The following is a 13,551-nucleotide window of genomic DNA, read 5'->3' on the forward strand; positions in this document are numbered from 1 at the left end:
GACATTAAAGAAATTCAGTGAGATACAAGACAACACAGATAAACAATACAAAGAAATCAGGAAAACAATTCAGTATATTAATAAGTTGAACAAAAAGAGAGATACTTTTTTTTTTTTTAAAAAAAGAAGCAAACGAAAACCACAGAACTGAAAACTTCAATGAATGAAACAAAAAGTACAACTGGGAGCTACAACAATAGACTAGATCAATCAGATGAAAGCATTTCTGAACTTGAAGACAGGTCTTTTGAAATAATATAGTCAAGAAAGAAAGAAAGAAAAAGAGAGAAAGAAAGAAAGAAAGAAAGAAAGAAAGAAAGAAAGAAAGAAGGAAAGGAAGGAAGGAAGGAAGGAGAAAGGAGAAAGAAAGAAGAAAGAGAAAGGAGAAAGAAAGAAAAGAGAAAGAAAGAAAGAAAGAAAAAGGAAAGAAGGAAGGAAGGAAGGAAAGGAAGAAAAGAAGGAAGGAAGGAAGAAAATGAGGAAGAAGAAAGCCTACATGACAAAAGAGAAACCAAAAAGCAACCAAATATTGGAAATTTGAGAATTCCAGAAGGAGAAAAGATAGGCAAGGGCATAGGAAATCTATTTAATGAAACAATAGCTGAAAACTTCCCAAGTCTTGGAAGAGAGATAGAAATTCAGATATAGGAAGCCGAAAGATTCCCAAATAGACTCAACCAAAAAAAGGTCTTCTCCAAGGCACATTATGATCAAACTGTCAAAAGTCAAAGACAAAGTCAGAATTCTAAAAGCAGCAAGAGAAAAACATCAAGTTTTATATAAGGGATTCCCATCAGACTAACAGTGAATTTCTCAGTGGAAATTTTACCAGCCAGGAGAGAATGAGATAATATATTCAAAGTCCTAAAATAAGAAAAAAACTGCCAGCCAAGAATACTATACCTAGAAAAGCTGTCCTTCAAAAATAAAGGAGAAATGAAGTGTTTACCAGACAAGCAAAAACTGAGAGAATTCATCATCATTAGACCAGCCCTACTTGAAATTCTTAAGGGAATCCTACATCTGGATGTGAAAGGACAATATCTGCTATCACAAAAACACAAACGTGTAAAACTCACTGGTACAGTAGATACACAGAAGAGAAAAAGGCAAAAGTTGCCACTGTAAAAACACCCACCAAATTGCAAAGGTAAACAATAAAAGAGAAAGAAAGAAACAAAGATTATACAAAATGATCAAAAAACAATTAAGAAAACAACAGGAGTAGGTCCTTACCTATCAATAACAAACTTGAATGTAAGTGGTTTACATTCCCAAATTGCAAGATACAGACTGGCTGAATGGATCAAAAGAAAGACTCAACTATTTGCTGCCTCCAAGAAACTCACTTCACCTGTAAAGACACATATAGACTAAAAGTGAAGGGCTGAAAAATATATTTTATGCAAATGGAAACCAAAAGCAGGCAGCAGTATATAAGTTATACTTATATAAGTCAAAAAACATAAACAGGGACAAAGAAGGTCATTATATAAGAAAGAAATCAATTCAGCAAGAGGATGTAACAATTCTAAGTTTATATGCATACAATGCCAGACCACCTAGATACGTAAAGCAAATGCTATTACAGCTAAGGAGAGAGATAGACTTCAATACAATAATAGCTGGGTACTTCAACACTCCACTTTTAGCACTGGAAAATCATCTAGACAGAAAATCAACAAAGAAACAATGATTTAATATGCATTACAGACCAAATGGACCTAACAGACATTTACAGAACATTTCATCTAACAGCTGCAGACTATATATTCTTCTCATCAGCCCATGGAACATTCTCCATAATAGACCATATATTAGGCCATAAAACAAATATCAAAATTTATTTAAAAGTTGAAATTATGTTAAATATCTCCTCAGACCACATTGGAATAAAACTAAAAATCAGTAATGACGAACTTTAGAAACTGTACCAGTAAGTACATGGAAATTAAACAACAGGCTCCTGAATGACCACTGGGTCAATGGAGAAATTAAGAAGGAAATTTAAAAATGTCTTAAAACAGATGAAAATGAAAGCACATTATACAAAACCTATGGGATACAGCAAATGTAGGGCTAAAAAGGAAGTTTATAATAATAAGTACCTACCTGGAAAAGTTTCAGATAACAATCTAACAATGCTTCTCAAGGAACTAGAAAAACAAGAACAAACCAAACCCAGAATTAATAGTAGGAAAATAATAATAAAAATTGGAGCAGAGCAGAAATTGACAAAATAGAGACTAAGAAAATTACAATGGATCAGTCAAACAAAAAGTTGGTTTTTTTGAAAAGATGATATTGACAAGCTGCTAGCTAGACTAACCAAGAAAAAGAGAAGACACAAATTAATAAAATCAGAAATGAAAAGGAGATATTACAACTGATATCACAGAAATACAAATGATCATTAGAGACAATTATGAAGAACTATACACTAACAAATTGGAAAATCTAGAGAAAATAGATAAATTCCTGAACACATACAACCTACCAAGATTGAATCAGGAAGAAACAGAAAACCTGAACAGAACAATAATGAGTAGTAAAATTGAATCAGTTATAAAAAGTCTCCCAACAAAGAAAAGTCCAAGACTGGATGGCTTTACTGCTGAATTTTACCAAACTTATAAAGAACTAATACTAATTATTCTCAAACAATTTCAAAAAAATTGAAAAAAAAGGAATTCTTTCTAACCCATTCTATGAGGCCAGCATTTCCTGATACCAAAATTAGAGAAAGAACAACAAAAAAAGAAAACTAAAAGCCAATATACCTAATGAACATAGATGCAAAATCCTCAACAAAATACTAATAAACCAAATGCAACAGCACACCAAAAAGATATTATATCATGATCAAGTGGGATTCATTCAAAAGATGCAAGGATGGTTCAACATACACAAATCAATAAATGTGATAAATCACATCAAAAGAATGAATGACAAAAGCATATGTTATAGTTTGGATATTTGTCCCCTTCTTATCTAATGTTGAAATGTGATTCCCTCCAACACTGGGAATCACATGGTGGAAGGTGATTGGATCATGGGGGTAGATCCTTCGTGAATGGGTTAGTACCACCCTTTAGAACAACCCCTGTGGTTATAAGTGAATTACTCAATTCACTCAAGTTCTGGTTGTTTAAGAGTCTGAGAGCTCTTCCTTCTCTCTCTCTTGCTCACACTCTCACCATGTGACACACTACTTCTTGCTCCACCTTTTGCTGTGAGTAAAAGCTCCCTGAGGCCACAACAAAAGGTAAGCAGATGCTGGTACCATGCTTCCTGTACAGCCTGCAGAATCATGAGCCAATTAAACCTCTTTTCTTTATAAATTACTCAGCCTCAGATTTTTCTTTATAGCAATGCAGAAACAAAATAACACACCACATGATCATCTCCATAGATGAAGAAAAAGCATTTGATAAATTCAACTTCTTTTCATGACAAAAACTCTCAACAAATTAGACATAGAAGAAACATAACTCAATATAATAGAGGCTGTATAAGGCAAACCCACCATTAACATTATACTTAATGAGGAGAAGCTGAAATGCTTTCCTCCAAGAACTGAAACAAAACAAATAAGGGAGGAGACCACCCCTCATATTGTCTTATGTCCAATTTCTGCCTCAAAGAAAAAGTAGGAGTTAAAGAAAAGACAGAAGAGAAATCAGTAGTCAGACAGCCCAGCGCGCATTCCAGGCCTGGTCGTTAAAAATCAACCCCTGACTTAACTGCTTGTGTTATCTATAGATTCCAGACATTGTATGGAAAAGCATCGTGAAAATCCCTGTCCTGTTCTGTTCCGTTCTGATTACTGGTGCATGCAGCCCCCAGTCACGTACCCCCTGCTTGCTCAATCAATCATGACCCTCTCATGTGGACCCCCTTAGAGTTGTAAGCCCTTAAAAGGGACAGGAATTGCTCACTCAGGGAGCTTGGTTTTTGGAGATGTGAGTCCGCTGATGCTCCCAGCTGAATAAAGCCCTTTCCTTCCACAACTTGGTGTCTGAAGGGCTTCTTGTCTGCGGCTTGTCCTGCTGCACAAGGATGACTACTTTTACCACTCTTATTCAACATAGTACTAGAAGTCCAAGCCAGAATAATCAGACAATAGAAAAAACATTAAAGGCATCCCAACTGGAAAAGAGAAAGCCAAATTGTCCTTCTTTGCAGATAACATAATCCTATATATAGAAAAACCTAAAGACTCCACCCAAAAACTCTAAAGCAAATTCAGTAATGTTGATAAGCAAATTCAGTAATTTTGGAGGATATACAATCAACATATAAAAATCAGTAGTGTTTTCACATATTAATAATAAACTAGCTGAAAAAGAAATCAAGAACATAATCCAATTTACAATAGCTGTCACACACAAAAAATACTTAGGAATAAATTTAACCAAGCAGGTAAAAGCCCTATACAGGAAAAACATTGATAAAATACACTGAAGACTGGCCAGGTGCAGTGGCTGATGCCTGTAATCCCAGAACTTTTGAAGGCTAAGGTAGGAGGATTGTTGGAGGCCAGGAGTTTGTGACCAGCCTGGGCAATATAGCAAGATCCCATCTCTACAAAATCCAAAAAAATTAGCCAGGTGTGGTGGTGCATGCCTGTAGTCCCAGCTACTCAGAAGGCTGGGCCCACCTTGGGCCCAACAGGTCGAGGCTACAGTAAACTGTGTTTGTGCCACTGCACTCCAGCCTAGGCAGCAGAGCAAGACTCTGTCTCAAAAAAATTGAAGAGGACACAAACAAATGGAAAAACATCCCATACTCATAGAATGGAAGAATTACTATGATCAAAATGACCATACTACCCAAAGCAATTTATAGATTCAATTCAATTTCTGTCAAAATTCCAATGACATTCTTCACATAAATAGAAAAAATAATTCTAAAATTTGCATGAAAACAAAATACTCTGAATAGCCAAAGCAATACTGAGCAAAGAGATCAAAACTGGAGGCATCACACTACCTAACTTCACAATATATTACAAAGATATAGTAACCAAGACAGCATGGTATTGGCATAAAAACAGGCACAAAGTCCAAAGGAACAGCATAGAAATCCTAGAAATAAATCCATGTATTTACAGGTGACTGATTTTGACAAAGTTGCCAAGAACATACATTGGGAAGGAGCCAGTGTCTTCAATAAACGGTGCTGGGAAAATGGTGCTGGATATCCATATGCAGAAGAATGAAACTAGACCCTTATCTGTCATCATATAAAATAATCAATTCAAAATGGATTAAAGACTTAAACGTAAGAGGTGAAACTATAAAACTTTATTTTATTAGAATAAAACATGGGAGACATTTCAGGACATTAGGCAGAGATTGTATGTCTAAGACTTCAAAAGCACAGGTAACACAAACAAAAATTGACAAATGATACTACATTACACTGAAAACCTGCATGGCAAAGGAAACAATCAACAGAGCAAAGTGACAACCTACAGAATGGGAGAAAATATTTGCAAACTATTCATCTGACAAACGACTAATACCCAAAATGTAAGAGGAACTCAAGCAGCTCGATAGCAATAATAATAATGATCTGATTTTTAAATAAGCAAAATCCCTGAATAGACACCTCTCAAAAGAAGACATACAAATGACCAACAAGTATATGAAAAAATACTCAACATTATTAATCTTCAAGAAAATGCAAATCAAATCTACAATGAAATATCATCTCACCTGAGAATGGCTACAATCAAAAGACAAAAAAGAACAAATGTTGGTGAGGATGTGAAGATTATACACCGTTGGTGGGAATGTAAGTTAGTACAGACATTATGGAAAACAGTATGGAGATTCTCAAAATAACTACAAATAGAACTACAATATGATTGAGCAATCTCACTACTGCATATTTATCCAAAGGAAAAACAAATCAGTATATGAAAGGAATACCTACACCCCATGTTTATTGCAACACTATTCACAATAGCTAAGATATGGAATCAACCAAACTTTCCATCAATGCATAGAGAAAATGTGGTATATACATATACACACTTTGGAATACTACTGAGCTATAAAAAATAATGAAATCCTGTCATTTGCAGCAACATGGATGGAAGTGGAGGTCATTATGTTGAGTGAAGTAAGCCAGCCACAGAAAGACAAATACTGCAAGTTCTCGCTCATGTGTGGGAGCTAAAAAACTTGATCTCATAGAGACAGAGAATAGAATAATAGATACCAGAAGCTGGGAAGGGTTGAGGGGGAGGATGAAGAGAGGTTGGTTCATGGGTAACTCATAGAGTTAGATGGCAGAAATAGCTTCTAGTGTTTAACAGCACAGTAGAGTGACTATAGTTGAAAATAATTTATTGTATATTTCAAAACGGCTAGAAGAGAAGATTTAAAATGTGCCCATCAAGAAGAAATGCTTAACATTTGAGGTGATGGATATCCTAAATATCGTGATTTGATCATTACATATTGTATGCATGTATCAAAATATCATATGTACTCCATAAATATGTACAATTATTATGTATCCAAAGTATTTAAAAAATTTAATATATATATCTAACTAAAAATCTTTGCAAATTAAAAAAAAATAGATCATGAGTCTTACTGAAAAGCCAGGCAAGCCACATGTGGCCTAGAAATCACAGCTTCCTGTCATACTTGGTTTAAGCCTTCTGTGGATGTTCCTTTTTTTGCATTTCAATTGCTTCATACTAAAAAGGGAAGGCTTCCTTGCTTTCAGAGGTGGGTAGCCCTGTGATTTAATTTTTTGGAAAGGTATAACTCAAATATTTTTTTAAAAAGAAAAAAGAAACCACAGAGGAAGATAGTAGATCAGAAAAGTATGACCCACTGTTCCTATTTATCAGTAAGTAGATCTGAATTGCTGTGGTCCTTGGCCACTGTCACAGGTAACATTCCACTGTAGTCCTCCCTCTCACTTGAAGACATGGAAGTATGAGTCAGGAATGGCCACGGGCTCTGTCGGAAGCTAAGGTGAATGAACACAGGTGTGGCTCAAATATTTCTAACATGAATTGCTTTAGGCTGAATGGATTCATGCCCTGACCTTGCACATGACGCACTGGATAAACCCAGCGAGAAGCTGAGAGTTCATTTGTCCTTTTGGAGAGAGGCTAGAGTCAGATGCTTCATCTAGAGATACCAGTCAGCTCTTCTTGGTTGGCAATTCCTAAGGAAAGAGAGATATAAAAGATATATCTGTTGTGTAGCAGATATTTAAGAAGATAGTCAATTCACCTTGTGGTTGGATTTGGTTCAGGTTGAATACATTCTGAAGGCAAATATTAGCATCATGTTTTGCAATGAAAAACAATTTTTTGTAGACATTGATCTCATGTCATCACTGCAATAACTCCATGATCTTAGTATTATCATTCTGATTTACAGATAAAGTACCTGAGACCAGAAAGATTATGTAGCTTGTCTAAGTTTACTCAATTTTGTCAGGTAGAACCCAGACCTGAACTCAAGTCTTCAAACTTCAAAATTTCAAGTCTTTTCACTGAAACGTGAAGCCTCTGTAGTAACATTCAATGTGAGGGCATTGGTAAAAGAGTATTAATATACTGTTGGAGCTGCAGAGATTCAGTGATTAATTTAGCTCTGCATGTACCTGTGGAGGTAAATCTTGGGAGACCTGTGGAGGTCTTTGGATAGGCTGTCTTCAGATATGCCATCAGTGCAAGAGCAATGCCAACTCTGCGTAATTTCTCTAATTGTCTTTCTCCTGCCATTCCAGTGCATCCATTAGCATACATCAGAGACTATAGGACTTCCCCAAGAACCTTTATGACAGTTGTCTATAAACTCAAGGAGTCAAGTAAATTCCCCCAAGTAAATGATACTGTAACCAACAAGTCCAAGGCTTCTTGAAGCTGTGTTGTTCTTTCTTCCCTAATCTTCATACTGCTGCCTGTTTCTCACCATTTAGATCCACAGAGTGGCCTGGCCAGCAGCCCTGACTAAAGGACTCAGTGTAACCCAGGCACTCCTTATGTCATTACCATTTAATTTTTCTTCAGAAGTATTAATATTTTCTGTAACCTTTGCATTTGTTTTCAAGTTTATATATTCTCTCTCTCTTCACTAGAATATAATCTCTCTGAAAGCAGGCTCCTTATCTATATTATTCACTGTTATATCCCCAAAGACTAGAATCCTGCCAGGTACGGGAACAGATTCTCAATAAATTATTTGTTGAGTGAATGTGTGAAGTGACACTTAGACGAATTCCTCCAATTTTGATGCTCCAAGCCCTGCACTGAAAGAGAACATAGACTTTTCTCATGGTGACTCTTCCCAAACATTTCTGGAATCCTCCAGGGGCCGTTACAAATGCTTGTGAATCCATCCTCATAAATTTTGCAACTTGCCAAGGGAATGAAAACCCAAGTGCCCATCTCAAAGCTGGACTTCACCTCTGGTTATTGCTGCGTTGGTTTTGAGCTGGAAATTCAATACTTCTGGCACCATCTTGATTTTCATGGCTTGTGCTAACTCAGTGGTTCCTTTTAAAGTGAGACAGTGGACACAACTTCTTTCTGTGTTACAGTCAGTGAAGGATTCCCCATAACAGATTTGCCAAGGATCCTAAGTGTTACTGACCTTCCATTTCATATAAAAGCTGCCAGAGTAATTGGGTCAAAATGAATTCCAAAATCTAGAATTATCCATAGGCTTTCTTGCTCAAGGTCATCAAGCTGGTATCCCACTTAGGTATGTTGGAAAATAATGATTATTCCCACACCTATGTAAAACCTTACACTTAATACCACAGGTGGTCTAAATATTACTGTAGCATAAAGATGTATGCAGTTCCAGTGATGTTGTTACAAAATTATCACAGATGCTTCCTGGTGCTGCACCTCATGGTCTCTTATTTCAGCTGAGATCCTCTGCTGGACACTTGAGTGTTAGCCCTTAACACAAGGTAGACACTGAAATGTCATTTTTACACCCACTCACTGGTTTTATATGTGGCAACTTTATTTCTTGTTGTATGTTTTTAGCTCTTTTGAGTAAAGAAACCAAATCTTATGGGTTTTTTGTTTTTGTGTTTTTGAGACAGTCTCACTCTATCGCCAGGCTGGAGTGCAGTGGCGCGATCTCGGCTCACTGCAACCTCTGCCTCCTGGATTCAAGCGATTCTCCTGCCTCAGCCTCCTGAGTATCTGGGACTACAGGTGCCTGCCACCACACCCAACTAATTTTTGTACTTTTAGGAGAGACGGGGTTTCACCATATTGGCCAGGATGGTCTTGATCTCTTGACCTCGTGAACTGCCGGCCTCGGCCTCCCAAAGTGCTGGGATCACAGACGTGAGCCACTGTGCCCGGCCCAAATCTTATGTTTTATTCTGTATTTCTAGTGCCCATGTATATAGGAGCTGGATCATTAAAAATGGCATTTGATGATTCATGCACTTGCATATTATGGTTAAGAAACTCTAGCTAGATAAATCTGCAGTTGTATAATCTGCTTCAGTTATATTCATACTTATCATTGAAGGACATTACATCCATGAAATGTTTAGGAAGTGTATTAAGCTAATCAGTTTAATCATGGGCCAGATTAGAAGAGACAAGAAAGTAGCTGAAGATTTATCGCTCATCAGCCTTGGCAAGGCTAAAACCATGCCTGGACATGCTGATTCTCCTTTGCCTTCCTCTCTCTACAAGCTTAACTCTCTTTTATTCTTATTAAAATGTAATTCTCTTTCTTCCAACCATTTCACACCACTACTAACCGCCCCCCCACCCACCCTTTCACATCATCCATGACCAAAGTCTTTCTAGATTTTTGGAGTCACTCAGGATTCTAAGGAACTTGTTCAGAAAGAAACTTTTTCTTTCACATACATGGCTTCTGTTTTCCACACAAGCAGGACTGACACACACTGAGTCAACCTTATGTGTGCTGAGCTGTTCCTTACAACAACGTGTCATGCTCATTGTTATGTTGGATAGTATTTCATTGAACAAATAAACTACAATTCATTTATTTAGTCTAGTCTATTCATTATGTACCACATGCATTTATTCATGGTTTGCTGTGAATAGTCTTATACATGTCTGTTAAACTTATGCATGTAATGTGTTGGGTGTAGAACTAGGAGCTGATTATTGTGTTTTAAGATTGTCAAAAGAAGACTTGCAGACTTGAAGAAGAAAAGTTTATTTGCAAAGTAGTGCAAAGGACTCATTCCAGAAGGCTCAAAAAAAATTAAAAAATGAGCAAACTATTTGAAAAAATCAGCATAATTTCCAAGTTTACATTAATTGATTCATCTATTCATGGTGGGAAAAGAGCAACATTTCTATATGATTATTATGTTTCCAAAGATCATGGCCTATCTTCAGATATCAGCATCACAAAATCAGCAATAAATATATTTTTACAGGGCAGGCAAGGGCTCTAGGAAATGTTCAAGATTTCATTTATTTTGAGGCCCAGAACTACACAGGTGTGCCTGTTATTCTTGCTGTATCTCTGGGTGGAAAATATTTTGTTTTCTCTGTGTCATGTGATACATATTGCTTATTCATTACATTAGCAGGACAAAATGTTAGTTATGCTTTTACAGGAATATACAGGCATACCTTGGAGATACTGAGATTTTGGTTCCAGACCACCATGATAAAGTGAAGGTCACAATAAAGTGAGTCACACAAATTTTTTAGTTTCCCAGTACATGTTGTTTACACTATACTGTTGTCTATTAAGTATGCCATAGCATTCTGTCTAAAAAAAATATATACATAACTTAATTTAAAAATATTTTATTACTAAAAAATTCTAATGATCATCTGAGACTTCAGCAGGTCATAAGCTTTTCACTGATGAAGTGTCTTGCCTAAATGTTGATGGCTGCTGACAGATTAAGTGGTAGTTGCTGAAGGTTGGGGTGGCTAGGGCAATTTTTAAAAATAAGACAACATTAAAGTCTGCCACATCGATGGATTTTTCCTTTTCATGAAATATTTACCTGTAGCATGTAATGGTGTTCAATAGCATTTGACTTACAGTAGGACTTCTTTCAAAATTGAAGTCAATCCTCTCCAACACTGCTACTACTTAATCAACCAAGTTTACATAATAATCTAAATACTTCGTTGTCGTTTCAACAACATTCACAGCATCTTACAGGAGTAGATTCCAGCTCAAGAAACCTCTTCATTTCCTCATTTATAAGAAGCAACTCCTCATTCTTTCAAATTTTATCATGAAATTGAAGCAATTCGGTCACAACTTCAGCCTTCACTTCTCATTCCAGTTCTCTTGCTACTTCCACCACATCTGCAGGGACTTCCTCTGCTGAAGTCTTAAACCCCTCGAATTCATCCATGATGGAATCAACTTCTTCCAAACTCCTTTGAACGTTGATATTCTGACCTCCTTCCATGACTTATGTTCTTAATGGCATCTAGAATGGTGACTCCTTTTCAGGTTTTCAATTTACTTTGCCCAGATCCATCAGAGGAATCACTACGTTATGGCAGCTTACAAAATGGAGTTTTTACATAATTAGCCAAAATTACTCCTTGGCTCATGAGTTGCAGAACATACGCTGTATTCACAGGCATGAAAGCAATATGAATCTCCTTGTACATCTTCATCAGAGCTCTTAGGTGAGAAGGAGCATTGTCAATGAGCAGTAATGTTTTGAAAGGAATCTTTTTCTCTGAGCAGTAGGTCTCAACAGTGTGCTTAAAATATTATGTAAACCATGCTGCAAACCGATGTGCTGTCATCCAGGCTTTGTTGTTCCATTTATAGAGCACAGACAGAGTAGATTTAGCATAGTTCTTAAGGGCCCCAGGATTTTTGGAATGATAAATGAGCATTGGCTTCAATTTAAAGTCACCAGTCACATTAGCCCCTCACTAAAGAGTCAGCCTGTCCTTTGAAGCTTCGAAGCCACATTCTGACTTCTCTCTAGCTATGAAATCCCAGATGGCATCTTCTTCCAAGAAGGGTGTTTTGTTTACATTAAAAATCTGTTGTTTAGTGTAGCTATCTTCTTCAAATATCTTAGCTGTATCTTCTGGATAACTTGCTGCAGCTTCCACATCAGCACTTGCTGCTTCACCTTGCGCTTTTTTTGTTATGGAGATGGCTTCTTTCTTTAAACCTCATGAACCAACCCATGATAGTTTCAAATTTATTTTCTGCAACTTTCTCACCTCTCTCAGCCTTCGTAGAATTGAAGAGAGTTAGGATCTTGCTCTGGGTTAGCCTTTAGCTTAAAATAATGCTGTGGCTGGTTTGATCTTTTATCCAAATCACTCAAACTTTCTGCATATCAGAATAAGGCTGTTTTGCTTTCTATCATTTGTGTTTTCACTGGAGTGGCACTTTTAGTTTCCTTCAGGAACTTTTTACACATTACATACATGTATCAAAATATCACACTTGCCTTAAAAATATGTACAACTATGATATATCAATTTTTAAAACAATTTTTTAAAGAAAGGAAAAAAATAACCTTTCCTTTGCATTCACAATTTGGCTAATTGGCGCCAGAGGCCTAGCCTTCGGTTTGTCTTGACTTTTGACATGCCTTCCTCGTGAAGCTTAATAATTTCTAGCTTTTGATTTAAAGTGAGAGATGTACAATTCTTTCTTTCACTTGGACACTTAAAGGCCATTGTAGGGTTATTACTGGCTTGGTTTCATTATTGTTATGTCTCAGGAAATAGGGAGGCCCAAGGAGAGGGAGAAAGATGGGAGAATGACTGGTCAGTGGAGCAGTCAGATACACACATAATATTCATCAATTAAGTTTGCAGACTCATAAGAGAATGGTTCGTGATACCCACAAATTATTACAATACTAACATCGAAGATCACTGATCACAGATCACCATAACAAACATAACAATAATGAAAAAGTTTGAAATGTTGTGAGAATTACCAAGATGTGACTCAGAGACATGAAGTGAGCACATGTTGTTGAAAAAAAGGCACCATGTATCTACTCAATACAGGATTGCCACAAGGTTTCAATTTGTAGAAAATGCAGTAACTGAGAATTGAAATAAAACAAAGCACAATAAAATAAGATATGGCTGTATACCTTCAGTTTAGTTGATACTGCCAAATAGTTGATCAGCATTGTTGTATGGATTTACAGTGCCATCAGATGTGTGTAAGTTACTTTCAGTTGCCTTGCATCCTTACTACACTTTTTGTTGCCTGTATTTCAAGTTTAGCCATTCTAGTAAACATGTAGAGGTGTCTTCTTGCAGTTTACATCTGCATTTCTCTGTTTTCTTGTGAGTACTTGGTTATCTTTTGTTTCATGGCACTCAATTTTATCCATTTTCATGTTGGTTTATTTGCTTTTGATTGTCATTTCACAGCACTACTTTATATTCTGGGTAAAAATCCTTTGTCTGATATATGTGGTGCAAATAATTTCTCCCACTCTGTTGCTTGCTTTTTTTCTCCCATAATAGTGTCTTTAGATGAACAGACGTTGTTAATTTTAATGTAATCCAACTTACTCTTTTTTTCTTTTATGGCT

General features: G+C 36.4%; 1 long non-coding RNA gene across 1 annotated transcript in view, besides 1 other annotated feature; it reads left to right on the forward strand.

Moving 5' to 3' along the window:
• The window catches only part of LINC01162 (long intergenic non-protein coding RNA 1162), a 187,718-nt gene that overhangs the window by 168,922 nt on the left and 5,245 nt on the right, over positions 1-13,551 (forward strand). The gene's annotated exons all lie outside the window — the stretch shown is intronic.
• Positions 6,475-7,674: an enhancer, noted in NCBI's record as "P300/CBP strongly-dependent group 1 enhancer chr7:21050446-21051645 (GRCh37/hg19 assembly coordinates)". NCBI's record gives its function as "activates an origin of replication core promoter dependent on BRD2, BRD4, P300/CBP, MED14 and CDK7 cofactors, with strong dependence on P300/CBP, by STARR-seq in HCT116 cells {active_cell/tissue: HCT116}" and the evidence as "EXISTENCE:reporter gene assay evidence [ECO:0000049][PMID:35650434]".

Source organism: Homo sapiens, chromosome 7 (genome assembly GCF_000001405.40).
Source record: "Homo sapiens chromosome 7, GRCh38.p14 Primary Assembly".
Lineage (NCBI taxonomy): Eukaryota > Metazoa > Chordata > Mammalia > Primates > Hominidae > Homo > Homo sapiens.